Raw genomic sequence first — 27,241 nt, 5'->3', positions numbered from 1 at the left:
AGGTGAGGGTCTCACTTCTCCGTCCGTCTGCAGGGCTGTGGTTTCCAGGATAGCCCTCCCTCTCCTTGGGGAGCCCCAGGTGTCTGGGGCTGGTCAGCATCTTGTACCCATAGAGCTGCCCCAGGGAAACATGCCAGGCTGTGTGGCTGGGATCCTGCCTGTCTCCAGGTGCGCCCAGCCAGAGGCCTTGCTTCTTGGGAGCTGGAAGCCTGGCCAGTCCGACTCTGACCTGTCTGGTCTGGTCCGGTCCGACCCTGTGTTGGTCCCACAGGTTGCTGCTACACTTTCCCTTCTTGAAGCTCCACTGCCATGTTCCAGGACACCCTGTGTGTTCTCATTGCTGCCCCTGGCTGGGCTGGCTTTTGTCTGTAAGCAAAACTTCCAGTACCTTTTCTGGCAGTACCCTGGGGGCTCCTGAAGAACAGGACTGCTGAAAATGGGTGATATCAACAAACTCCGCAGGATTTCCTGGAGCTTAGAGAACTGCATGTGCCCACATCAGGCCCTGAGAAGCCCCCTTAGCTGCTGCAAAGGTTGGGGACATTTTTTGCTGAGTAGGTGAAAGCTGCCAGGGAGGGGGACATATGTGTCCCTAGAGATGGCGGGTCAGCAGGTTGGGGTTTGGGGCAGTCTTCAGGCCTGGAGCCCCGAGTGCCCTCAGGCAGCCTGCTTTCAGATAGAGTCTGAGGATGAGCACGGAGTGCAGGGGTCCCCTTTACCTGCATCCAGGGGTGTGGCCATGTTGCCCCTGACCAGCAGGGCTGCTTTGTTTGGCAGTCATTCATCAGAAAAGTGCACTGAAAGAAGCGCCCAGGGCCTCCCACCTGTGAGACACCACGCTGGGGAAGGGGGCGGTGCAGGTTCTAGGTTTGCATGTGGCAGCTCCTCCAGGCCTCACCCCAGCAGGTGGCACCGTGAGGGTGGGACGGGCCCCACCACTGCTTCCCTCTCACCTGATACCCAATCCTCTGGTCATCTTTCCCGTTCCGTGGCCCCGACTTCTTGGTCTTCGTAGCCAGGTATCTAAGACGTCCTGTGAGGACATCCAGATGGCTGCAATGTGGGGCTGCTTCTAAAGCTTGTTTGGAGTGTGGTGTGTTGGGATGCGCACCTGGTCACTCTCCCTCCCCCGCAGAGGTGTGTGGTTGAGGCCCTTTTGGAATGCCCTGCTGCCTTCCTGGCCAGCCTTTTCTGCGCCTCTGTCTCTGTGGTGGTCTGAGCTGTTGGCTCTCTGCCATGTCTTTAGCCACAGCCCTGCTTGAAGCCCTGAGGCTGAATACCCAGGCACCCGTATATTTCAGTCAAGTCCGCCTTAGCTTCCTGGAGCTGCCGCAACAAAGCAGCGCGAGCTGTGCAGCCTGAAGCAGCGGGAATTCACAGTCTAGGCTCTGGAGGCCGGAGTCTCAGATGAAGGCGCAGGCAAGGGCCCTCAGGTGCGGACGCCTCCTCCCTGCCAGGTGCCTTGCCTGCCTCCCTGTGCTCTGCACAGCAATGGCCCTGCAAGTCTTCTGCATCAGCTTTCTCTTCTGCGGACTCCTGCTCCTCTGGGTCAGGGCCCACGCCTGCTGCTTCTGAGAGCCCCTGTTTGTTAAGGATGCTCTCTGAGGTGCTGGGGTCTTCAGTCCATTGTTTTTTGGGGGGCACAGTTCAACCTGTAACGGCCCAAGGGGTTCTTCCTGCCCGCTGCACACATTCAGACCGTGGATTGCAATAAAGAAAAAAAGTTTAGGGCCGGGCGCAGTGGCTCACACCTGTAACCCCAGCACTTTGGGAGGCCGAGGCGGGTGGATCACGAGGTCAGAAGATCGAGACCATCCTGGCTAACACGGTGAAACCCCGTCTCTACTAAAAATACAAAAAATTAGCTGGGCGTGGTGATGCGCGCCTGTAGTCCCAGCTACTGGGGAGGCTGAGGCAGGAGAATGGCTTAAACCCGGGAGGCGGAGCTTGCAGTGAACTGAGATCGCGCCACTGCACTCCAGCCTGGGTGACAGAGCAAGACTCCGTCTCAAAAAAAAAAAACAAAAAAATTAATAGACACGGGCCGGCCAGGCCACATGTGAGATGGAGTTCGTCCTCAGATCATCTTGTCCAAAGCTCCTAGGTTAGGGGTTTTTTCAAAGGCAGTTTTGGGGGAGGGGGGCGGCGGCCAGGCGACTGGTGCTGATAATCATAGGGGTCGGAGCCGTCCACCTGCTGAGCCGCTTCTGGGGGGTCCTGATGCAGCCACGGGTGTCAGACAAGCAAAGACCCTGGAAGGCGGTCTCTGAGGGGCAGCTCCGCCATGGCGGGTTCACAGGAGGCAGGCAGAGCGCGCCTGCGGCCTCGGGGTGCTGGGCTTAGTGGGGCGCGGGCTCCTCATCAGCTTTACGAAGGCGTTGATTCCGGGGCAAGGCCTGTCATGGAAACTGCAGCCTAAATGTTAAGTCAGCGCGGCCCGATGGCCAGGAGTAACCGGGAGGGCGCCACGGGGTGCGCTACCGCAGCTCGCTGTTGGGGTTTTTCTCAGTGATAGAAATTTTGCAGAGGCGGCTTCAAACCTACGGCTCTGTCACTAACTTGCCGTCTCCAAACCTGCTTTGTGGAGGAGCGGATTTCCCGAAGCCTTCGGTCTCTACGGCCCCGCAGGGAGCAGCGCGTCTGACGCCTGAAGCCCGCCGCGGTCAGCCGGCCGACAGGGGGCGTGGGAGCCTGGCTTCCCAGGGGCGTCCACGGAGGCCAAGGCCCTGCCGGATGTCCCGCCCCGGCACCCCGGAAGGAGTCGCGAGAGAGGCGGCCCGCGCTGACGGTGTCCCTGGGGCTCTGCGCTCGTCCGGCCGGCCCCGGCCTCGCCGCCCCGCGCAGTACCCAGCCCGGCCCCGCCGACCCGCCTCTACTGCCGGCTCCGCGCCCTTCCCCGAGGGCTGGATGATGGGCTGTTTCGCCCTGCAAACGGTGGACACCGAGCTGACCGCGGACTCGGTGGAGTGGTGCCCGCTGCAAGGCTGCAGGCACCTGCTGGCGTGCGGGACCTACCAGCTGCGGCGGCCGGAGGACCGGCCTGCCGGCCCCCAGAACAAGGTGCGCGCGCCGCGGCTTCGGGAGGGGAGGGCGGGGCCGGCCACGAGGTTGAGGCCGAAAGGCGCACCGAATCGCCCAGGAGATGAAGAGGGGATATTGGCCCTTTGGCCAGGAGGTAGGCTGGAAACAGTTTAGAATCTTTTTAAAAAAATTGTTCTCGGCCGGGCGCAGTGGCTCACGCCTGTAATCCCAGCACTTTGGGAGGCCGAGGCGGACGGATCACGAGGTCAGGAGATCGAGACCATCCTGGCTAACATGGTGAAACCCCGTCTCTACTAAAAAAATACAAAACAATTAGCCGGGCGTGGTGGCGGCGCCTGTAGTCCCAGCCACTCGGGAGGCTGAGGCAGGAGAATGGCGTGAACCCGGGAGGCAGAGCTTGCAGTGAGCCGAGATCGCACCACTGCATTCCAGCCTGGGCGATACAGCAAGACTACATCTCAAAAAAAAGAAATTACTTTTTTCTGAGACAAGGTCTTGCACTGTCACCCAGGCTGGAGTGCAGCCTCGGACTCCAGGGCTCAGGGCATCCTCCCGCCTCAACCCCCTGAGTAGCTGGCACCACAGGCACGAGCCACCGCCCCCGGCCAACTTTAAAATCTTGAGAGCAGAACGTCTTCTATATACAGGTGTGGCCCAAGGGAATGGGTGGAATGTACAGTAAAGAGAAAGTGGGAATTATATCTTAACTTCTGGTGGGTACATATTAGGATCCAAATTGGGCACTGGAACAACAGGCGTAAGTCAGGACTGTCCCAGGCAAACTGGGTTCTGTGGTTACCCTAGCCATAGCTGGTCCCTGTTGGCCGGTTTAGAAGGAGCCTTCTCTACTGGGTCCAGGAGTGTTCACCTACTCATTAATAGACGTTTCTCCAGCTCAGAAAACCAGAGGTTCTCCTTCCAGGCAGAATTCCACTCCTTTAGTCATGGCAAACCTTTGAGTTCCTTGGATCCCTTTTCCCATCCTTTGGGTTCCTTCGTGTCTTGGGATAATCAGAGACTACCTCTGCATTTTTTGTAGGGTGGAATGGAAGTTAAGGAGCCTCAGGTCCGTTTAGGCCGTCTCTTCCTGTACAGTTTCAATGACAACAACTCTATTCACCCTCTGGTCGAGGTCCAAAGAAAAGATACTTCTGCAATCCTGGACATGAAATGGTATAACTGTGATAATCCCACTGGGTGTAGAATTTGTCATGAGTAGCAATCAGGGAAGCCTGATGCCTGATGCCTTCAACAAGACAGGCATTGCATCTCAACTTTGGATTTGTTTCTTTGCTGTCCCGCCTATCTTCCACCTGGGGAGTGCTTTACCTGGGGCTTATTTCCTTTGTCATGTTCCAGCCGGGGAAGTGATGGGAGTTTTCTGACTTCATAACCTGGGGCGTCTTTTGTTTGAGAACACAGTTGTAGGCTCTAGCCCACTTTTGGAGCTGAGATTTAAATGCAGTGGTGTGTGGCATAATTATGTTTTGGTCAACAATGGAGCACGTATACCATGGTGGTGCCTTAACGTAATGGAGATGCCCTATACAGGTGTACCAGTTTTTATCCTTTTTAATTTTTTTTTTTTTGAGGCAGGGTTTTGTTCCGTTGCCCAGGCTGGAATGCAGTCACGTGATCATAGCTCACTGCAGCCTTGAACTCCTGGGCTCAAGCAATTCTCTGTCTCAGCCTCTCGAGTAGCTGAGACTTCAGACTTCAGGTAGATGCCACCATGCCTCTTTTTTTTTTTTTTGAGACGGAGTCTCGCTCTGTCGCCCGGGCTAGAGTGCAGTGGCGCGGTCTCGGCTCACTGCAAGCTCCGCCTCCTGAGTTCACGCCATTCTCCTGCGTCAGCCTCCCTAAGAGCTCGGTCTACAGGCGCCCGCCACCACACCCGGCTTATTTTTTTGTATTTTTAGTAGAGACGTGGTTTCACCATGTTATTAGGATGGTCTTGATCTCCTGACCTCGTGATCCACCCGCCTCAGCCTCCCAACGTGCTGGGATTACAGGCGTGAGCCACGACGCCTGGCCTTACCACACCTCATTTTTGTTTGTTTGTTAGTTTGTAGAAACAGGGTCTTGCTATGTTGCTCAGGCTGGTTTCGAACTCCTTACCTCAAGTCATCCTCCTACCTCAGCTTCCCAAAGTGTTGGGGTTACAAGTGTGAGCCACCATGCCCGGCCACCTGTTTTTTATCCTTTATATTGTATTCTTACTGTATCTTTTCTATGTTTAGATATACAACCACTTCCTGTTGTGTCACACTTGCCTGCAGTAACATGCTGTAAGGTTTGTGGCATAGGAGCAGTGGGCCATACCATATAATCAAGGTGTGTAGTAGGATGTCCCAGCTGGGTTTGCGTGGACTGCAGCCCCGTTGTTAAGGGAAGCGTGACTGTGGTTACCGGGACGCACAGTGCACGCCTGTGCTCCGGGCACATTGGTGTGCTTATGGTGGGCCCTCTCCTCAGGTGTCACATCCCGGTGGCTGGACATGCCCTCTTGGGCTTGGCAGATGCCAGTGGATCCATACAACTGCTCCGCCTGGTGGAATCTGAGGTCAGTGACTTGCACTTGTTCTGTGGGGCAGAAGGGACCTGAATAGAGAGGGTTGGGGAGGAGGCTGTGCTGATACAGACATTTTTCTAAAACGATCTCTCTTCAATGGTGAGCTATATATAAACGTTCTAAGATAATGTGGAGTCTATTTTTAAGTTGTATTGCGTTCTACATCCAACTCCAAGAGGAAGTCACCTCATGTGTCACCAGCAGAAGGGCTGAAGTGACAGGATGTTCATTGACCTGTCAGTGGATCTGAAAGTTCTCTAAGGAGAGCCTGGGCAAGCATTCTTAGGTTGATGCTGGGGCCCAGAGTAGCAGTGAGCATCCTGTGTGAAGATGGCATTTCTCACTGATTATTGGAAAAGCACGTGAGTCCTGTGTGAATTTTTCCGAGTTTCTCACAGTGCTCTGGAGCCATGCATTAACAAAGTGACTTCATCTGATAGCTGTCGGGGAGGAGAACGGGGATGTCCCGTAGTGGGGTGATGTAAACAGCCTGAAACCACGCCCTCACTCCGATGCAGATGCTGCAGGCGGGGCTGGGCCAACCGAGGGCCTGTGTAGGAAAAGGCCTTGCTTAAGGCAGCTTAGAGCAGTTGCCCTGTCTTAGAAAGGAGGGAAAGAGCAGCCACAGGAAAGCTGTGGGCCCAAGGGAGGAGTGCATGAACCCAGGAAAGGGCTTTGGTACAGCAGCCTGCTGGGAGCAGGGATGGAGTTAAGCACTGGCCAGGCTGTTTAGGAAATGAAATTTATATAGATCTGCATAAAGAGCAACCACGTTCTCATGGCTGCTCGCGGCTTCTGAAGTGGAAACCAGAGGAGTTTCCCCATTGTCTCTGTCTCGGGAGGCGAGTGTTCCAGTGGCCCTGGAGGCCTGGGGTGGGAAACTGTGTGTGCCACTGTGGTCTGGAGCCTGCACAGGCATCTCGACAGCATCTAGGAGCGCAAGGATGGCAAGGGGGTGTGAAAGGGAGGGAGACCATGCCCCAAGATCAAGCCTGTGGGAAAGTTGTCCTGCAAGTGTGAGGAGTGTGAGCTCCAGTGTCCCCAGGTCTTCTCGGGGCCCCTAGCAGGGGTTTCAGTGTTAGGTGGAGGTGTGACTCAGTGACTGATGTACTTCATTCGCATAGGTTGTAAATGAGGGAACGATGACTTCCCTGCAGGAGAGGAAAAGTCTTTTGGGGGTTCTGGGGCGGCTACTTCCCTTTGATGGAGTTTCTTCTTCTCCAGTAGAAGAGCCACGTGCTGGAGCCATTGTCCAGCCTTGCCCTGGAGGAGCAGTGTCTGGCTTTGTCCCTAGATTGGTCCACTGGGAAAACTGGAAGGTAAGGGCCAGGCTTGGTCAGGGGTCCTGAGTCTTTCTCTGAGAACCACTTCCACTTTTCAGGCTAGAGGGCTCCAGCCACCTTCAGCGAGCTGCGACTGTGCTCCTCAGCCCTGACATCATCACTGCCAGTCCTATTATGAAAAAAAGGTCCCCCATTTTAGATACATAGCGATAGTGTTTTTACCTAGAGAAGTCGACACTGGTGTCTTTGACAAGCTTAGCAGTGGTTGTGATCTTAGCCGCCAGTCTCTTAAGGGGCATATCCGCATCCCAGGGCTGTGGAGACCGTCTCTCAGGACTTGTTTGGGAACCAGAAGAGGCTGACGAATAACATTCTGCCGGGCTTCTTCATGGGTTCCCTGTGTCTAGGGCCGGGGACCAGCCCTTGAAGATCATCAGCAGTGACTCCACAGGGCAGCTCCACCTCCTGATGGTGAATGAGACGAGGCCCAGGCTGCAGAAAGTGGCCTCATGGCAGGCACATCAATTCGAGGCCTGGATTGCTGCTTTCAATTACTGGCATCCAGAAATTGTGTATTCAGGTCAGTATTCCTCCACCGGTCACCTCTGATGGAAGGCTTGCTGAGGAAGGGGCGGAGGGAGAGAGGGAGGCCTGTGCCACAGCTGTGATTCCAGTTATGTTGGGATCTTGAAGACCTTTTATGGAAAGTGTACTTTTTTTTTTGAAACTGAGTCTTGCTCTTTTGCCAGGCTAGAGTGCAGTGGCACGATGTTGGCTTACTGCAATCTCCACCTCCCAGGTTCAAGCGATTCTACTGCCTCAGCCTCCCAAGTAGCTGGGATTACAGGCGCCTGCCACCACACCCAGCTAATTTTTGTGTTTTTAGTAGAGACAGGGTTTCACCATGTTGGTCAGGCTGGTCTCTATCTCCTGACCTCATGATGCGCCCACCTCAGCCTCCCAAAGTGTTGGGATTACAGGTGTGAGCCACTGCGCCTGGCCACTATTTTTTTTCTTTTTTGGAGAATGTACTTTCTGGAACAAAGGCTATAGTTGGCGCTCATCACTTAGCTATTCTTTTTTTTTTTTTTTTTTTTTTTTTTTTGAGACAGAGTCTCACTCTGTTGCCCAGGCTGGAGTGCAGTGATGCAATCTCAGCTCACTGCAAGCTTTGCCTCCTGGGTTCACGCCATTCTCCTGCCTCAGCCTCTTGAGTAGCTGGGACTACAGGCACCCGCCACCATGTCCAGCTAATTTTTTGTAGTTTTTTTTTTAGAGAGATGGGGTTTCACCGTGTTAGCCAGGATGGTCTCGATCTCCTGACCTCGTGATCCTCCCGCCTCGGCCTCCCAAAGTGCTGGGATTACAGGTGTGAGCCACTGCACCCGGCCCACTTAGCTATTCTTTTTTTTTTTTTTTTTTTTTTTGAGATGGAGTCTTGCTCTGTTGCCTAGGCTGGAGTGCAGTGGCGCGATCTCGGCTCACTGCAAGCTCCGCCTCCCAGGTTCACGCCATTCTCCTGCCTCAGCCTCCCGAGTAACTGGGACTACAGGTGCCCGCCACCACGCCCGGCTAATTTTTTGTATTTTTAGTAGAGACGGGGTTTCACTGTGTTAGCCAGGGTGGTCTTGATCTCCTGACCTCGTGATCCACTCGCCTCGGCCTCCCAAAGTGCTGGGATTACAGGCGTGAGCCACCTTGCCCCGCCCACTTATTCTTTAGAGAGCAAAGTATAGCTTGCCTCAGGCAGTGCAGGGTCTTGGGTGGTGTTGGCCAGGGTGTTGGAGGAGCAGGCACCTGTGGGCAGAGCCATCCTGCCTCCCTGATATGCTCGGTGTCAGATCCTTTATGCTTTTACTGGAAGTCCAGTTTCTGTGCTTTTTGCCTGATACCTGTGGATACAATAGTGACTTCGCCATGTTGGATTTCAAGTTTGTCTGCACCCTTTTTGGATATAGTTTATCTTCCAGAAATAAAGGAAGCATGAGAGAAATAAGATTCCTTTCCAGGTCTTGTGAATGGTTTGCATTTGGGGCATGCTGATGTGGGAGTGAGAAATTAACAACTGGTGTTTCCAGGAAGGAGGTAGCTTTGGCTAGCATCTCTTTCCCAGGTAGAGATAACTCATGGCAGGTGAGAGGGGCGGGTCTCTGAGAAAAGACAGAAGAGGAGCTGCTGAATTTGCAAACAGCCGAAGAAAAGATCTGACCCTTCCCTGCTGCTACCCATCCGGGCCACTGTCTCATCTAGTTTGTTACAGCAGAGCAGCAAGTGATGGCCCTGCCTTCATTCCTGACTGTTCCAGTCTCCACACAGTAGCCAAGCAAGTGTTTTAAAAACACACACACTTTATCGCATCTCACTCATTGTTAGAACCCCTCACAGTTCCTGTTTCATTGAGGATAAAATCCAAAATAGTGATGCGATTACCCAAGGCCTGTGGAATCTGGTCCACGCCTGCTTCTCCGGCCTTGTTTTGGCTCCTATGCTCTCAGTCACCTTTTCCTGAAATAGTCCACATTCCCTCAGTCTCAGGGTTTCGTCACGGGATGTTTCCTTCATGGGTGAATTCTGCTTTTTTGACATGCCCAGCTTAAAATCTTGTCCTTAGAAGACTGACGCAGAGCAGCTGTCCTTCCACCCCAGGCAGGCCTCACCTCCGCCGTGGCTCACGCTGCCTCTGCTTGTCCGAGTGACGAGCACGTGTGTAAGGCGGCGTTCTTATTTGTGTTGCTCATTGTCACAGCCTTGAACCGTCTGAGAGCCATAAAGATCTCATTTCTTGAGGTCTCTCCTTGGGTTGGTTCTTCTACCTTGAGCTAATTCAGAGCAAAGGTACCGTAGGGCAATGATTGAATAATTCTGGACTGATTCATTCTTTCAACAAATGCTATGTGCTGAGCCCTATTCTAGGTGATTAGAATACTTTAGCAAACTAAACAGACAAAAGTCCTGCTTTCTTTTTTAAGTTTTATTATTTTTATTTATTTATTTATTTTGAGATGGAGTTTCGCTCTTATTGCCCAGGCTGGAGGGCAGTGGTACAATCTTGGCTCATTGCAACCTCCACCTCCTGGGTTCAAGTGATTCTCCTGCCTCAGCCTCCTGAGTAATTGGGATTATAGGCACCTGCCGCCATGCCCGGCTAATTTTTGTATTTTTAGTAGAGATGCGGTTTTACCATGTTGCCCAGGCTGGTCTCGAATGCCTAGGCTCAAGCGATCTACCTGCCTCAGCCTCCCAGTGTTGGGATTATAGGCGTCAGCCACTGCACTCAGCCTTCTTAAAAAAATTATTTATATAGGCCAGGCGCGGTGGCTCACACCTGTAATCCCAGCACTTTAGGAGGCCAAGATGGGCGGATCATGAGGTCAGCAGATCAAGACCATCCTGGCCAACATGGTGAAACCCCATCTCTATTAAAATACAAAAAATTAGCCGGGCATGGTGGCAGGCGCCTGTAGTCCCAACTACTCGGGAGGCTGAGACAGTGGAATTGCTTGAACCCGGGAGGCAGAGGTTGCAGTGAGCCGAGATCGCACCACTGCACTCCAGCCTGGCGAGAGAGCAAGGCTCTGTCTCAAAAAAAAAAAATTTATTTATATAAATACATTTTGAGGATGGGGTGGGTGGTTCACGTCTTGCTGTGTCACCCAAGCTGGAGTGCAATGGCGTGACCACAGGTCACGGCAGCCTTAACCTCCCAGGGTCAAGCGATCCTCCTGCCTCAGCCTTCTGAGTAGCTGGGACTACAGGTGTGAGTTACCACACCTGGCTGATTTTCACATAAAAGTCCCTGCTTTCACCCAGCTTACATTCTGTGGCGGGGAGACAGACAGTAAACACAAGGCATAATATGTAATAGGGAAGGAGACTGCATGGCCTGTCAGGGGCAATGAGTGCTTTGGAAAGAAGGTAGAAGGAGGTGAGAGGGGACCAAGGGTGCTGGGAGCAGGTGCAGATTATACTGTTGGAGAGCATGGTCAGGGTGGGCAGTGGTCCTAAGGCAGGAGTGGCCCTGCTATGGCAGAAGAGTAGCCAGTAGCCAGCATGGTTAGGATGACCTGAGGCAGTAGCGGAATAGAAGAGGGTGAAATCAGAGGTAATGGGCCAGGGCACAGGGCCGTGCAGGCTCCAGGAAGGACTTTGTTTCCTACTCAGAATGAAATGGGAGCTGTTGCAGGATGTTGAGCAGAGGAATGACAGATTCTGACTTGCATTTTAAAATTTGCGATGACCTCTTTGGTGAATGTGAGTCTAGACCACAAGAGGGAGGGACACAGCCTGGAGACTTGACATTGGGCAGGTGATGAGACAGCCCAGAGCAGGTTTGGAGTAGTGGAGGTGAGGACCAGTGGTTGGGTTCTGGATAGAAGTGAAGGTATATCCAGTCAGATTTCCTGATGGAGTGGATATGTGGGGCATGCGAGAGTGGAGAGACTCACGTATAAAGAAGCCTTTGCCTACTCTGTACAAATTTGCCACAGAATGGCAGCTCATACTTGAGGCTCATCTGCAGGCTTCATGCCTAGGTCAGCTGATTCCGCTGGTTCATTTAACTGTAGGTCATGTTCACTGTGTATCCGTAGTGTCTATTATGAGGGTCCATAGTGTGTGTTCAGCAAGTACCTATTTGATGGGTGGTGGGTGGGTGGGTGGATGGTGGGTAGGAGGGCGTGTGGGTGGATGGATGGATGGATGGTGGGTGGATGAGTGAGTGGGTGGGTTTGTGGTGGATGGATGGTGGATTTTTGGATGGTGGGTGGTGGTGGGGTGGATAGATGGTGGGTGACTGGATGGATGGATGGTGGATGACTGGATGGATGGATTTTTGGATGGTGGGTGGTAGAGTTTGGATAGATAGTGGGTGAGTGGATGGATGGTGGGTGGGAGGGCGTGTGGATGGATGGATGGATGGATGGTGGGTGGATGAGTTGGTGGGTGTGTGGTGGATGGATGGTGGATTTTTGGATGGTGGTGGTGGTGGCGTGGATAGATGGTGAGTGACTGGATAGATGGATGGTGGATTGTTGGATGGATGGATGGATGGATGGATGGATGGATGGATCATGGGTGGATGGATGGATTTTTGGATGGTGGGTGGTGGGTGGTGGGTCGTGGGTGGTGGATGGTGGATGGATGGTGGATTGTTGGATGGATGGATGGTGGGTGAGTGGCTGGCTGGCTGGCTTGATAGACGGGGGGTGGATGGATGGATTTTTGGGTGGTGGGTGGTGGGTGGATGGATGGTAGATTGTTGGATGGAAGGTGGGAGGGCGGGTGGGTCGATGGATGGTGGATTGTTGGATGGATGGATGGATGGATGGTGGGTGAGTGACTGGCTGGCTGGATGGATGGATGGTGGGTGGATGGATGGATTTTTGGATGGTGGGTGGTGGGTGGTGGGTGGTGGATGGATGGTGGATTGTTGGATGGATAGTGGGTAGATGGATGGAAGGTGGGTGGGGGGTGGGTGGGGGCATGGGTGGATGGATGGTGGAATTTTGGATAGGGTGAGGTCGGGGGGTGGATAGATGGTGAGATGGATGGAAGGTGGGTGGGTAGTGGGAGCTGGATGATGCAGGGGTGGGTGATGTGGTTAGGCCTAGACGTTTTCCTTCTGATCTTCTTCACTCTCCCTGTGGGCCCTGCTCTTGAGCTTCCCTTCCTTCAGGTGCCACCATTCACCCCATGTCTGCATTGCTTTTCTTGGAAGATTGGTTGTGGTTCAGTGCACCAACTCCTCTCTTCTCCCATCCTTTTCGTTCCCCTAAACAAGTGCTTTAAGATGACAGAGGGCACCTTCCTTTCAGGTGCATGGTGTGGAGTCCTTGTGCTTGCTGCCTCCTGTGTGCAGTTTCTGTTCAGGGCTCTGATCTGGCAACTCTTCTTCTTAGAAGCCAGGGCTTTATTCACTGGAGCCCTTAGCAAAGGCAGTTTAGCCCCTAGGACCTAGTAACGGCCCCTGTGAACAATGGTCGCCTGCACCTGATGGCCTTCAGGGCCCCTTCAGTTTCCATTTCCTCCCTTCTGTTCCTGCAGGCTTCTTTCTGTTCCCGTCCGTCTTTCCCCTCCTGCTTCCAGTCTCTAGAGAGTCAAGGCACAGTGATGACTTTCCTGGGGGTTGTTTCTGGGACCTCCTGTTGAGGTGGCAACCTAAGACTCCTCCAGCAAAGTCACCAGGGGAACTTCCTCACAGACAGAGTCACCCCGGGGAGCTTCCTCACAGACAGAGTCACCCAGGGGAGCTTCCTCACAGACAGTCACCCAGGGGAGCTTCCTCACAGACAGAGTCACCCAGGGGAGCTTCCTCACAGACAGAGTCACCCAGGGGAGCTTCCTCACAGACAGAGTCACCCAGGGGAGCTTCCTCACAGACAGAGTCACCCAGGGGAGCTTCCTCACAGACAGAGTCACCCAGGGGAGCTTCCTCACAGACAGAGTCACCCAGGGGAGCTTCCTCACAGACAGTCACCCAGGGGAGCTTCCTCACAGACAGAGTCACCCAGGGGAGCTTCCTCACAGAGTCACCCAGGGGAGCTTCCTCACAGACAGAGTCACCCAGGGGAGCTTCCTCACAGACAGTCACCCAGGGGAGCTTCCTCACAGACAGAGTCACCCAGGGGAGCTTCCTCACAGACAGAGTCACCCCGGGGAGCTTCCTCACAGACAGAGTCACCCAGGGGAGCTTCCTCACAGACAGAGTCACCCAGGGGAGCTTCCTCACAGACAGAGTCACCCAGGGGAGCTTCCTCACAGACAGTCACCCAGGGGAGCTTCCTCACAGACAGAGTCACCCAGGGGAGCTTCCTCACAGACAGAGTCACCCCGGGGAGCTTCCTCACAGACAGAGTCACCCCGGGGAGCTTCCTCACAGACAGAGTCACCCCGGGGAGCTTCCTCACAGACAGAGTCACCCCGGGGAGCTTCCTCACAGACAGAGTCACCCAGGGGAGCTTCCTCACAGACAGAGTCACCCAGGGGAGCTTCCTCACAGACAGAGTCACCCAGGGGAGCTTCCTCACAGACAGAGTCACCCAGGGGAGCTTCCTCACAGACAGAGTCACCCCGGGGAGCTTCCTCACGGACAGAGTCACCCCGGGGAGCTTCCTCACGGACAGAGTCACCCAGGGGAGCTTCCTCACAGACAGTCACCCAGGGGAGCTTCCTCACAGACAGAGTCACCCAGGGGAGCTTCCTCACAGACAGAGTCACCCAGGGGAGCTTCCTCACAGACAGAGTCACCCAGGGGAGCTTCCTCACAGACAGTCACCCAGGGGAGCTTCCTCACAGACAGTCACCCCGGGGAGCTTCCTCACAGACAGAGTCACCCAGGGGAGCTTCCTCACAGACAGAGTCACCCAGGGGAGCTTCCTCACAGACAGAGTCACCCAGGGGAGCTTCCTCACAGACAGAGTCACCCAGGGGAGCTTCCTCACAGACAGTCACCCAGGGGAGCTTCCTCACAGACAGAGTCACCCAGGGGAGCTTCCTCACAGACAGAGTCACCCAGGGGAGCTTCCTCACAGACAGTCACCCAGGGGAGCTTCCTCACAGACAGTCACCCCGGGGAGCTTCCTCACAGACAGAGTCACCCCGGGGAGCTTCCTCACAGACAGAGTCACCCAGGGGAGCTTCCTCACAGACAGAGTCACCCAGGGGAGCTTCCTCACAGACAGAGTCACCCAGGGGAGCTTCCTCACAGACAGTCACCCAGGGGAGCTTCCTCACAGACAGAGTCACCCCGGGGAGCTTCCTCACAGACAGAGTCACCCAGGGGAGCTTCCTCACAGACAGAGTCACCCAGGGGAGCTTCCTCACAGACAGAGTCACCCAGGGGAGCTTCCTCACAGACAGAGTCACCCAGGGGAGCTTCCTCACAGACAGTCACCCAGGGGAGCTTCCTCACAGACAGTCACCCCGGGGAGCTTCCTCACAGACAGAGTCACCCCGGGGAGCTTCCTCACAGACAGAGTCACCCCGGGGAGCTTCCTCACAGACAGAGTCACCCAGGGGAGCTTCCTCACAGACAGAGTCACCCAGGGGAGCTTCCTCACAGACAGAGTCATCCAGGGGAGCTTCCTCACAGACAGAGTCACCCAGGGGAGCTTCCTCACAGACAGAGTCACCCAGGGGAGCTTCCTCACAGACAGAGTCACCCAGGGGAGCTTCCTCACAGACAGAGTCATCCAGGGGAGCTTCCTCACAGACAGAGTCACCCCGGGGAGCTTCCTCACAGACAGAGTCACCCCGGGGAGCTTCCTCACAGACAGAGTCACCCCGGGGAGCTTCCTCACAGACAGAGTCACCCCGGGGAGCTTCCTCACAGACAGAGTCACCCAGGGGAGCTTCCTCACAGACAGAGTCACCCAGGGGAGCTTCCTCACAGACAGTCACCCAGGGGAGCTTCCTCACAGACAGAGTCACCCAGGGGAGCTTCCTCACAGACAGAGTCACCCAGGGGAGCTTCCTCACAGACAGTCACCCAGGGGAGCTTCCTCACAGACAGAGTCACCCAGGGGAGCTTCCTCACAGACAGTCACCCCGGGGAGCTTCCTCACAGACAGAGTCACCCAGGGGAGCTTCCTCACAGACAGAGTCACCCAGGGGAGCTTCCTCACAGACAGTCACCCAGGGGAGCTTCCTCACAGACAGAGTCACCCAGGGGAGCTTCCTCACAGACAGAGTCACCCAGGGGAGCTTCCTCACAGACAGTCACCCAGGGGAGCTTCCTCACAGACAGAGTCACCCAGGGGAGCTTCCTCACAGACAGTCACCCAGGGGAGCTTCCTCACAGACAGAGTCACCCAGGGGAGCTTCCTCACAGACAGTCACCCCGGGGAGCTTCCTCACAGACAGAGTCACCCAGGGGAGCTTCCTCACAGACAGAGTCACCCAGGGGAGCTTCCTCACAGACAGTCACCCAGGGGAGCTTCCTCACAGACAGTCACCCCGGGGAGCTTCCTCACAGACAGAGTCACCCCGGGGAGCTTCCTCACAGACAGAGTCACCCCGGGGAGCTTCCTCACAGACAGAGTCACCCAGGGGAGCTTCCTCACAGACAGAGTCACCCAGGGGAGCTTCCTCACAGACAGAGTCATCCAGGGGAGCTTCCTCACAGACAGAGTCACCCAGGGGAGCTTCCTCACAGACAGAGTCACCCAGGGGAGCTTCCTCACAGACAGAGTCACCCAGGGGAGCTTCCTCACAGACAGAGTCACCCAGGGGAGCTTCCTCACAGACAGAGTCACCCAGGGGAGCTTCCTCACAGACAGAGTCACCCCGGGGAGCTTCCTCACAGACAGTCACCCAGGGGAGCTTCCTCACAGACAGTCACCCAGGGGAGCTTCCTCACAGACAGAGTCATCCAGGGGAGCTTCCTCACAGACAGAGTCACCCAGGGGAGCTTCCTCACAGACAGAGTCACCCAGGGGAGCTTCCTCACAGACAGTCACCCCGGGGAGCTTCCTCACAGACAGTCACCCAGGGGAGCTTCCTCACAGACAGAGTCACCCCGGGGAGCTTCCTCACAGACAGTCACCCCGGGGAGCTTCCTCACAGACATCAACGGCCTAACTGAGAACACTCATTTCCTGTCATTAGTGGTGTTGATGCTTCTCTTTCTCCACACAGGGGGCGACGATGGCCTTCTGAGGGGCTGGGACACCAGGGTACCCGGCAAATTTCTCTTCACCAGCAAAAGGTAACTGCCCAAGGGCCAGCACTCGGTGCCCACACCAGCCCCCGCGTTCCCTGGGTCACCAGCCCTCCCGTTCCCTGGGTGGGTCTGTGTGCTGGACACTGGTTCAGAAGCCGCCTCTGCTTGCAGACACACCATGGGTGTGTGCAGCATCCAGAGCAGCCCTCATCGGGAGCACATCCTGGCCACGGGAAGGTGAGTCCCCAGGAGGCTCTCGGGCCCTTCTCGTCTCTTTCGCTGTCCCCGGGGGGCTCCTGGGCCCTTCTTCCCTCTTTCGCTGCCTTTCCTCCTGGCACCATTGCAGCATTTCGTCTGCCAGTGCTTCGCCGGAGTGTAGGTATATGGGTTTGGTAAAGGGGACTTTGTCCTCGAGGGATGCATGGGACAGGTCTCTGGGAGACGTTCTGTGCCCCCCAGGGGCCTTGTGGAACAGGTGAGCCTGGGCTTTCCTTATATGCCTCCTGTGGTTGGTCGGTTTCAGCTATGATGAACACATCCTACTGTGGGACACACGAAACATGAAGCAGCCGTTGGCAGATACGCCTGTGCAGGGTGGGGTATGGAGAATCAAGTGGCACCCTTTCCACCACCACCTGCTCCTGGCCGCCTGCATGCACAGTGGCTTTAAGATCCTCAACTGCCAAAAGGCAATGGGTGAGTGGGGACCCGTGGCTGCTGGGCCTCAGGGCAGGGCACCAGTTCCCTGCCCCCTCGCTCTGCTGGGCTCTTCCCTCAGCTCCCTGCTCCCTTGCTCTGCTGGGCTCTTCCCTCAGCTTTTACACACTCCCAGCGTCGCGCCCTAGACTTGGTCGTGATCCATAACTGTCCCAGCTCCAGAATCTCTGCTCTCTAACCACAGTTTTCCCTGGTTTCCCAGCTCCGTCATTCCGGTGCCTCCTGCATTTCGGCAGACCTCTGACCCCACTGGGACCTCTAGTCTGGAGGCTTGGCCACCCATCACTCCCATAACCATCCTTGTCTGTGCTCTCCCATGCTCTTCCTGCCTGTGGTCAGCTGGGACTCTGTGGTCTGCTGCCCCCTGTGAGCTCACACTCCATTCCCTTCATCCCTTTCTCACACTCTGGGCAGAACCCAGTGTTGTTTTGTTGGGAACAAGCACCTCTGATTCTGGTTGAGCCGGAGAACGTGGCTGGAATCAGCTGTCCACGTTGTGTTCTAGTAGGTCCCTGGGATTCCTGGTGATCTGTAACATTTCTCTAGGCAGTAATCCCCCACTGTCAGAACTGGTTCACATTTTCTTCTCTCTGCTCAAACCTCCAGGACCTCCTCTTCCCTCCTGACTTGCAGCTCATGATCTCTCCTCTTTCGCCTCTTCTCTCTCCCCTCACTCCAAAAATAAGCAATCACAAAACCACCTCATCTTCCCACCATTAAGCCCACCAGCCTCTCGGGCCACCCACATGCTCTCTGCCCTCTGCAGCGGTGGGTGACCCACACCTGTTCCCAAGGCCAGTTTCTTCTCTGCACTGGATTGTACTCAAGGACTTGATTGACTCGATTTCCGCATGGTATTCCTCTTTTTTTTTTTTTTTTTTGAGACGGAGTCTTGCTCTGTCACCCAGGCTGGAGTGCAGTGGTGCGATCTCGGCTCACCACAGCCTTCGCCTCCTGGGTTCTAGCGATTCTCCTGCCTCAGCCTCCCAAGTAGCTGGGATTACAGGCACCCACCACCATGCCTGGCTGATTTTTATAGTTTTAGAAGAGATGGGGGGTTCACCATGTTGGTCAGGCTGGTCTGGAACTCCTGACCTCGTGATCCGCCTGCCTTGGCCTCCCGAAGTGTTAGGATTACAGGCGTGAGCCACCGTGCCTGGCCTGTATTCCTCTGTGTTTTGCATCTTTAGTTTCTCCATCTCTTCTGTATTGTTTCTGTTAGTTCTGTGAATGTGCTTTGTATTTCTCATCGTTTTTTGTTTTGTTTTGAGATGGTGTCTTGCTCTGTCACCCAGGCTGGAGTGTGGTGGTGCAATTGTAGCTCACTGCAGCCTCAACCTCCTGGGGCTCAAACCATCCTCCCATCTCAGCCTCCTGAGTAGCTGGGACCCCCATGCCAAGCCATAATATTTCTTGTATTAAAACAATTTGAGATCTTTTTTTTTTGAGATGGAGTCTTGCTCTGTCACCCAGAATGGTGTACAGTGGTGTGATCTCGTCTCACTGCAACCTCTGCTTCCTGGCTTCAAGCAATTCTCCTGCCTCAGCCTCCAGAGTAGCTGGGATCACAGGCTTGTGCCACCACGCCTGGCTAATTTTTGTATTTTTAGTAGAGACGGGGTTTCACCACGTTGGCCAGGCTGGTCTTGAACTCCTGACCTCAGGTGATCCGCCCACCTTGGCCTCCCAAAGTACAGGCATGAGCCACCGTGCCCAGCCCCTGGGCTCAAACCATCCTTCCACCTCAGCCTCCCGAGTAGCTGGGACCACCATGCCCAGCCATAATATTTCTCATCTTAAAACAATTTGAGGTCTTTTTTCTTTATTAATGGTGATACATTTTCCTCTGAGCACTGCTTTTGCTGCAACCCATACATTTTGGTATGTTGTATTTTTATTTTCATTCATCTCAAGGTACTTTCTAATTTCCCATGTGGTTTTTTTCTTCGACCATTGGTTATTTATGAGTGTGTTGTTTAATGTACATGTTTTTAAGTGCCCACATTTCTTTCTGTTACCGATTTCTAATGTTATTCCATTGTGCATTCCTGTTGAATTTACTGAGATTAGTTTTGTGGCCTAGAGTGTGGTCTCTGCTGGGGAGTGCCCCTGTGCACTTGCGGACGTGTGTTCTGCTGCTGTTGGCTGGAGTGCCCTGTAGGTGCCTGTGAGGTCTCGGCTTTATAATGTTCAGATCTTCTGGTTCCTTACTGAATCTCCTGTCTGGGCAATATTGAAAGTGGTCTGTTGGCTGGGCACGGTGGCTCACGCCTGTAATCCCAGTACTTTGGGAGGCTGAGGTGGGCAGATCACAAGGTCAGGAGATCGAGACCATCCTGGCTAACATGGTGAAACCCCGTCTCTACTAAAAATACAAAAAATTAGCCAGGCGCTGTGGTGGGTGCCTGCAGTCCCAGCTACTTGGGAGGCTGAGGCAGGAGAATGGCGTGAACCCAGGAGGCGGAGCTTGCAGTGAGCCGAGATCGCGCCACTGCACTCCAGCCTGGGAGACACAGCGAGACTCCATCTCAAAAAAATAAAAGAAAGTGGGCTATTGCTACCTCCAACTCTAACTGTAGAATTATGTATTTCCAGCCTCGTTTCCATCAGTTTTTACTTCACGTATTTTGGGGATCTCTTTTATATATGTTTATAATTCTGGTATCTTCCAGATGTGCTGACCCTTTTATCAATATAAAGTGTCTGTCTTTAAATCTAGTAACATTTTTTGTTTTAAAGTCAGTTTTGTCTGGCATTGGTAAAGTCACTTCAGTGTGGCGTGATGCATCGTTTTCATTCTCTTTCAGTTCACACCTGAGTCTGAGGCGAGTCTTTGGTATGGGGTCATGCTTTTTTTTTTTTTTTTTTTTGAGATGGAGTCTCGCTCTGTCACCCAGGCTGGAATGCAGTGGCGCTATCTTGGCTCACTGCAACCTCCACCTTCCGGGTTCACGCCGCCATTCTCCTGCCTCAGCCTCCCGAGTAGCTGGGAATACAGGCACCTGCCACCACGCCTGGCTAATTTTTGTATTTTTATTGGAGACGAGGTTTCACCATGTTGGCCGGGGTCGTGCATTTTTGCCAGGAAACCTGTGAAAGTGGCGCTGTGCCCTCCTTAGTTCCTCACATCAAGGGCCTATGATGCCACATTGTTCCATTTTTGTGAAATTTGGTCACTTTGTTAAGGTGGTGTTTGCCCCAATCCCTTCACTGAAGAGATACTATTTTCCTCTTTGGGATTAATCAGTAATCTGTGGTGAGAATCTTTGAACCTGTGTCAATAACTCCCTTTTCAGACTTTTACCCAATTCAGAGACAATTGGTGCTTGAATAAATTATGGTAATGGCAAAATGGTGATTTTCTTTTTTTCTTTTTTTTTTTTTTTTTTTTGAGATGGGGTCTTGCTCTGTTGCCCTGGCTGGAGTGCAGTGGCACGATCTCGGCCCACTGCAACCTCCACCTCCCGGGTTCAAGCGATTCTCCTGCCTCAGCCTCCTGAGTAGCTGGGACTACAGGTGCCCACCACCACGCCCGGCAAATTTTTTTTTTTTTTTTTGAGACAGAGTCTCACTGTGTCACCCAGGCTGGAGTGCAGTGGTGGGATCTTGGCTCACTGCAAGCTCCGCCTCCCGGGTTCACGCCATTCTCCTGCCTCAGCCTCCTGAGCAGCTGGGACTACAGGCGCCCACCACCACACCTGGCTAATTTTTTTTGTATTTTTAGTAGAGACGGGGTTTCACCGTGTTAGCCAGGATGGTCTTGATCTCCTGACCTCGTGATCCGCCCGCCTCGGCCTCCCAAAGTGCTGGGATTACAGGCGTGAGCCACCCTGCCTGGCCAATTTTTTGTATTTTTATTAGAGACAGGGTTTCGCCGTGTTAGCCAGGATGGTCTTGATCTCCTGACTTTGTGATCTGCCTGCCTCGGCCTCCCAAAGTGCTGGGATTACAGGTATGAGCCACCACGCCTGGCCATCTCTTCCCATTCTTAATGGCATTTTTTCCTACTCAGAACACAGCATTAACATATTATTTTTCTGTCCTTGCCCCACCTGTTTTTTCCTAAGTCTCAGCTCGCAATTGACTATTTGTTGTGCTCCCATCCATCCTGGTGACAGCTGTTCCCAGCCACCGCCTGTTTGGATAGAGCTTGCCTCCTGAGAGACGCTTAGGAGAGGCCCTCGGTGGTGTTTCCTAGACTTCTGAATACTTGATACTTTTCTCTGTAGCCTTGATAATTGAAGGAGAACTTGCCCATTAATCCCTTGACTTGCATTTCCTTTGCTTGAGTTTCTTAAACACACTCCAGCATTGTCTGTTGGGCACACACTGGGTCTCCTGCCTTTTAACTGCTTTTGTAAAAATTGTGATAAAATTTATGTAACATAAAATGCATGATTTTAGCCACTTTAAGTGTGCAATTTAGTGCAGGGACCAGCCCCACAGGGTCAGTGGGCTTCTCCCTGTGTGCGGCGACGAGAGAGTGTAGAAATAAAGACACAAGACAGAGATAAAAGAAAAGACAGCTGGGCCCGGGGGACCACTACCACCAATGTGCAGAGACCGGTAGTGGCCCCGAATGTTTGGCTGCACTGTTATTTATTGGATACAAAGCAAAAGGGGCAGGGTAAAGAGTGTGAGTCATCTCCAATGATAGGTAAGGTCACGTGGGTCACGTGTCCACTGGACAGGGGGCCCTTCCCTGCTTGGCAGCCGAGGCAGAGAGGGAGAGGAGAGAGAGAGAAAGACAGCTTACGCTATTATTTCTGCATACCAGAGACTTTTAGTACTTTCACTAATTGACTACTGCTATCTAGAAGGCAGAGCCAGGTGTACAGGATGGAACATGAAGGCGGACAAGGAGCGTGACCACTGAAGCACAGCATCACGGGGAGACGGTTAGGCCTCCGGATAACTGCGGGCAGGTCTGACTGATGTCAGGCCCTCCACAAGAGGTGGAGGAGCAGAGTTTTCTCTAAACTCCCCCGGGGAAAGGGAGACTCCCTTTCCAGGTCTGCTAAGTAGCGGGTGTTTTTCCTTCACATTTTTCGCTACCGCTAGACCATGGTCCGCCTGGCAACGGGCGTCTTCCCAGATGCTGGCGTCACCGCTAGACCAAGGAGCCCTCTGGTGGCCCTGTCCAGGCATAACAGAAGGCTCGCACTCTTGTCTTCTGGTCACACCTCACTATGTCCCCTCAGCTCCTATCTCTGTATGGCCTGGTTTTTCCTAGGTTATGATTGTAGAGCGAGGATTATTATAATATTGGGATAAAGAGTAATTACTACCAACTAATGATTAATGATATTCATATATAATCATTATCTAAGATCTATATCTGGTATAACTATTCTTGTTTTATATTTTATTTTACTGGAACAGCTCATGTCCTCGGTCTCTTGCCTCGGTGCCTGGGTGGCTTGCCGCCCACAATTTAGTGGTATTAAAGACATTCAAGGCCGGGCGCAGTGTCTCACGCCTGTAATCCCAGCACTTTGGGAGGCTGAGGCGGGCGGATCACCTGAGGTCGGGCGCCTGTAGTCCCAGCTACTTGGGAGGCTGAGTCAGGAGAATCGGTTGAACCTGGGAGGCGGAGGTTGCAGTGAGCCGAGATCACGCCACTGCGCTCCAGCCTGGCGACAGTGACACTCCGTCTCAAAAAAAATAAAAAATAAAAGAAGACATTCAAAATACTGTGCAATCATCACTGCTACTTATTTTCAAAACTTTTCTATCACCCCAAACATCCCTCCCCCAGCCTCTATAACCTCCGTTTACTCTGTCTATGGGGATTTGCCTTTTCTAGATATTTCATGGAAGTAGAATCGTGTGTCTTTTTATATCCGGCTTCTTTACATAGCTTAACGTTTTCAAGGTTCACCCCTGTTGGAGCATGTGTCAGAATTCTCTTTTTAAGAAGGTAATGATGGACCACATTCTGTCTGTTCATCCTCTGATGGACATTTGGGTTGTTTTCACCTTTTGGCTATGGTGAGTTTTTAGTTTTTTTTTTAAAGAGAGGGTCTTGTGTCCTGTCACCCAGGTGGGAGCGCAGTGGTGGAGTCAGAGCTCACTGCAGCCCGGACCACCTGGACACAAGCAGTCCTCCTGCCTCAACTCAGTCCTCAGTGTCGGGATTACAGGCTTGAGCCACTGCATCCAGCCTTCAGTTCTTAAAGTTGAAGAGGTGAACTAAGACAGGTCTGAGAGTTCAACATTCCAGGCCAGTTTTGTCAGGTACTCTGTATAGGCCTTTTTTTCTTTTTCTTTCTTTTTTGAGACGGAGTCTTGCTCTGTCTCCCAGGCTGGAATACAATGGCACAATCTCAGCTCACTGCAACTCCCACCTTCCGGGTTCAAGCAACTCTCCTGCTGCAGCCTCCGGAGTAGCTGGGATTACAGGTGTGTGCCACCACGCCTGGCTAATTTTTGTATTTTTTAGTAGAGACGAGGTTTTACCATGTTGGTCAGGCTGGTCTTGAACTCCTGACCTCAGGTGATCAACCCGCCTCGGCCTCCCAAAGTGTTAGGATTACAGGCGTGAGCCGCTGTGCTCGGCTGGCCTTTTTCATAACTTTATTTATGTATTTTTTTGAGACAGAGTCTTGCTCTGTCGCCCAGGCTGGAGTGCAGTGGGGTGATCTCAGCTTACTGCAACCTCCACCTCACAGGTTCAGGGGATTCTCCTGCCTCAGGCTCCTGTGTAGCTGGGACTACAGGCATGCGCCATCATGCCTGGCTAATTTTTGTGCTTTTAGTAGAGATGGGGTTTCACCATGTTTCCCAGGCTGCTCTCAAACTCCTGCCCTCATGTGATCCACCTGCCTCGGCCTCCCAAAGTGCTGGAATTACAGGCGTGAGCCACTGCACCCAGCCTGTATCTTTAATTTAAACAATTTTTTTTTTTTGAGACAGAGTCTTGCTCTTTCACCCAGGCTGGAGTGCAGTGGCACGATCTTGGCTCATGCAACCTCCACCTCCCACGTTCAAGCAATTATGCTGCCTCAGCCTCCCGAGTAGCTGGTACTACAGGTGCATGCCACCACACCCAGCTAGTTTTTGTATTTTTAATAGACACGGGGTTTCACCATGTTGACCAGGATGGTCTCGATCTCTTGACCTTGTGATCCACCCGCCTTGGCTTCCCAAAGTGCTGGGATTACAGGTGTGAGCCACCGCGCCCGGCCTAATTTTAAAACAATTTGTATTGTCTGGGTGCGGTGGCTGACACTCGCAGTCACAGCACTCTGGGAAGGGTGGGCGGATTGCTTGAGCCGGGAGTTCAAGACTAGCCTGGACAACATAGTGAGACTCCGTGGCCACAAAAAATAGAAAAAACTAGGGGGCATGATGGTCGCAGCTACTCAGGAGGTGAGGCAGGAAGACAGAGCCCAGGTCAGTGCACTCCAGCCTATGCGACAGAGTGAGGTCCTGTCTTGAAAATAAAAAGAGGGAGGAAACGTTGGCCTGTGGCTAATCAGAAAGGGCCTCCCATTCTTGGGGTCGCAACAGTGTCTTCCGTCCACTCATTCGCTGTCTTTTTCCCAGGCTGTGGCTCTCTGAGGGCTTAGACTCTGCCTTATTACCTTTTCCTAAGCTGTAGAAGAGGTCCTGCTGGCCCGAGTGGACGTGTTGAGCGATTGCTGGATGAAAGACTAGCGGAGGTCCTGCCTGCCCTGTGACGCTACCTCCCAAGGGACAGTAACGGCCTCCCCAGGGGCTTCCTCCCGAGGGTCGCCCCACACATGCTGCTCGAGGGCCCCTGTGGCTGTCTCTGAACATTCAGCATCTCACTCCTCCTCGGAGCCACCTCTGCCCAGTTGAAGCCCTGGGCCCAGGGTTGGGCCTCCCCGGCCCAGGCCCATACAACCTCGGCACGTTTTGTAATCCAGTGCGGTCCTGTTCTGCCCTCAGCCCTTCTTCCATCAGCACTCATTCTGGTTCTGATTCCGGTCACTGCTGGCATCAATCCCTGTACTTCAGAGGTAGCGATGGCAGCCCTTTCAGAGCCCAAGTGGCCACCCAGCCTTGCAGCCCCTGGCTCACCTTCCACTTGCTCTCTGCAACTGCCCCTGCCAGCCCTGGCCTTGCCTCCTGGACTCCAGATCGCCTCGGGTTTGGCCACGCCTCGTCATTCCCTCTGTTGCTGTGTGCTCTGGGAGGCAGTTGTGGCCTCTTTCCAGTTGCCGTAGCAACTTCTATAAAGAAACTGCTCACTTAACCTTGTCAGTGGCTCCTTTCCAAGCCAGAATCCAGACTCTGAAACAGGGCGTGCCGGACCCTGCATGCTTGGGACGCTCCAGCCCACTGTCACTCACTGACAGTGCCATGGCTGCCTGTTTGTGGTTCCCCGTGCGAGCCTTGGACTTTCTCACCTCTGCTGTACACATGCTGCCTGTTCCTCAGACATCCCCTTCCTTCCCAGCTGGCTAAAACTCCTTTGTTCTTTGGTTTTAAGTGTTAACTGAGGTCTTTCCCCCTCTCTGGCTTTTGCCGTATTCTTCACCATCAAGTGAGGTTCTGTAGCCCCGCTTGATGCTTCTCTTGGAGGCACACAGGCGTGTGCACTGCAAGATGACGGTCTGTTTCTTCTCCAACATATGCCCAGGTCTTGCTGGTTCCTTTGCATGACACAACGGCTCCTCAGGAAACACTTGCTGACCTGTGAGGGGCTGTTCTTGGAGTCTCCCTGTCAGGTGTGACAGGTTGGGGAGAGGCTCTGGGTGATGTTGTGTTTCCTGGGTTCTCCCATCTCTCACTCCAGAGGAGAGGCAGGAGGCGACGGTCCTGACATCTCACACATTGCCCGACTCGCTGGTGTATGGAGCCGACTGGTCCTGGCTGCTCTTCCGTTCTCTGCAGCGGGCCCCCTCGTGGTCCTTTCCTAGCAACCTAGGAACCAAGACGGCAGACCTGAAGGGTGCAAGCGAGTTGCCAACACCCTGTCATGAATGCAGAGAGGATAACGATGGGGAGGGCCATGCCAGACCCCAGAGTGGAATGAAGCCACTCACAGAGGGCATGAGGAAGAATGGCACCTGGCTGCAGGCTACAGCAGCCACCACACGTGACTGTGGCGTGAACCCAGAAGAAGCAGACTCAGCCTTCAGCCTCCTGGCCACCTGCTCCTTCTATGACCATGCGCTCCACCTCTGGGAGTGGGAGGGGAACTGAGCTTGAAATCATGAAGCCCCTTCCCACAAGGAAACCAGGAGGGAGACTGCGAGTGAGTGCCCGGGACCACCTCATCAGAGATGCTTACTGCAGCCCTGCAGGTGCCTGTGCACTGATGGAATCCACAGTGTAGTCAGAAAAGCTGTTGACTTCTCTTAAATCAGCTTCCCTGCTGGGCCCCTGAAAGTGGACTGGGTGATTCTGTCTGGCAGAGAGTGGGGAAAAGACGCGGTTTCCAGCTTGCAGATTTGTTAAGTTTCTCAGGCAGATTTTGACTTTCAGCCTTTCATACTTGTTTAAGCAACTATTTGTATTAAATGAAGTTTTTTGAAAAACACGAGTTTATAACATGTTTAAAATGAACATTTTATGCCTCATCATGGCACCAGAAATGCTTGTATAGATTGAGCACAGCCAGTCCAAAAATCCAAAATCCCAAAACTTTTGGAAAATCCCGCAGCTGAACTCATGTGACGGGTTGCATATATTATTAAAACTACTGAGCACAGTCACAGTGGCCTGTAATCCCAGCACTTTGGAAGGGGCTGAGGCAGGAGGATTGCTTGAGGCCTGGAGTTCAAGACCAGCCTGGGCAACATAGCAAAACCCAGTCTCTATAAAAAGTAAAACAAAAATTAGCCAGGTGTGGTGCATGTGCCTATGGTCCCAGCCACTTGGGAGGCTGAGGCAGGAGGATTGTTGAGCCCAGGAGGTCGAGGCTGCAATGAGCCAGGGGCAACAGAGCAAGACTCTTATCTCTAAAAATTAAATAATAAAAAATTGTATAAACAATAA

General features: G+C 53.5%; 1 protein-coding gene across 28 annotated transcripts, besides 6 other annotated features; it reads left to right on the top strand.

Annotated features, from left to right (window-relative positions):
- Positions 1,509-2,480: an enhancer, noted in NCBI's record as "H3K27ac-H3K4me1 hESC enhancer chr9:140473657-140474628 (GRCh37/hg19 assembly coordinates)". NCBI's record gives its function as "activates a minimal SCP1, AML or CMV promoter by ChIP-STARR-seq in primed H9 embryonic stem cells {active_cell/tissue: H9 hESC(primed)}" and the evidence as "EXISTENCE:reporter gene assay evidence [ECO:0000049][PMID:30033119]".
- Positions 2,355-2,414: an enhancer, noted in NCBI's record as "active region_29353". NCBI's record gives its function as "activates an Ori minimal core promoter by ATAC-STARR-seq in GM12878 lymphoblastoid cells {active_cell/tissue: GM12878}" and the evidence as "EXISTENCE:reporter gene assay evidence [ECO:0000049][PMID:35858748]".
- Positions 2,665-3,074: a silencer, noted in NCBI's record as "silent region_20629". NCBI's record gives its function as "represses an Ori minimal core promoter by ATAC-STARR-seq in GM12878 lymphoblastoid cells {active_cell/tissue: GM12878}" and the evidence as "EXISTENCE:reporter gene assay evidence [ECO:0000049][PMID:35858748]".
- Positions 2,760-27,241, top strand: DPH7 (diphthamide biosynthesis 7). 28 transcript variants are annotated; one of them, NM_001346380.2, is made up of 11 exons: positions 2,760-3,060; positions 4,082-4,215; positions 5,283-5,376; positions 5,518-5,605; positions 5,791-5,976; positions 6,842-6,933; positions 7,305-7,477; positions 16,531-16,600; positions 16,727-16,792; positions 17,079-17,251; positions 26,037-27,241. In NM_001346380.2, the coding sequence occupies exons 7-11, from the start codon at positions 7,366-7,368 to the stop codon at positions 26,444-26,446; spliced, it is 831 nt and encodes a 276-aa protein (NP_001333309.1). In that variant the 5' UTR covers positions 2,760-3,060; positions 4,082-4,215; positions 5,283-5,376; positions 5,518-5,605; positions 5,791-5,976; positions 6,842-6,933; positions 7,305-7,365; the 3' UTR covers positions 26,447-27,241. The 28 variants fall into 28 exon arrangements, with proteins under 28 accessions (NP_001333309.1, NP_001333308.1, NP_001333319.1 ...); NM_001346379.2 differs by having other exon boundaries at positions 6,839-6,933; NM_001346390.2 differs by adding an exon at positions 3,554-3,689 and having other exon boundaries at positions 5,518-5,976; positions 6,839-6,933.
- Positions 5,215-6,024: an enhancer, noted in NCBI's record as "H3K4me1 hESC enhancer chr9:140470113-140470922 (GRCh37/hg19 assembly coordinates)". NCBI's record gives its function as "activates a minimal SCP1, AML or CMV promoter by ChIP-STARR-seq in naive H9 embryonic stem cells {active_cell/tissue: H9 hESC(naive)}" and the evidence as "EXISTENCE:reporter gene assay evidence [ECO:0000049][PMID:30033119]".
- Positions 5,215-6,248: a biological region, named in NCBI's record as "Sharpr-MPRA regulatory region 4489".
- Positions 5,954-6,248: an enhancer, noted in NCBI's record as "tiled region #4489; HepG2 Activating non-DNase unmatched - State 15:Elon, and K562 Activating DNase matched - State 5:Enh". NCBI's record gives its function as "activates a minimal TATA promoter and a strong SV40 promoter by Sharpr-MPRA in HepG2 and K562 cells {active_cell/tissue: HepG2 | K562}" and the evidence as "EXISTENCE:reporter gene assay evidence [ECO:0000049][PMID:27701403]".

This window comes from Homo sapiens, chromosome 9 (genome assembly GCF_000001405.40).
Source record: "Homo sapiens chromosome 9, GRCh38.p14 Primary Assembly".
NCBI lineage: Eukaryota > Metazoa > Chordata > Mammalia > Primates > Hominidae > Homo > Homo sapiens.
This window is presented reverse-complemented; position numbering and strand designations above follow the sequence as displayed.

Bases quoted from the DNA above. Each gene is read 5' to 3' on its own strand.
- DPH7 (NM_138778.5), top strand. From the start codon at position 2,908: ATGATGGGCTGTTTCGCCCTGCAAACGGTGGACACCGAGCTGACCGCG. The intron at 4,216-5,517 runs GTATAACTGTGA...CCCTCTCCTCAG, and splicing joins GCAATCCTGGACATGAAATG to GTGTCACATCCCGGTGGCTG. The intron at 16,793-17,078 runs GTGAGTCCCCAG...GGTCGGTTTCAG, and splicing joins CACATCCTGGCCACGGGAAG to CTATGATGAACACATCCTAC.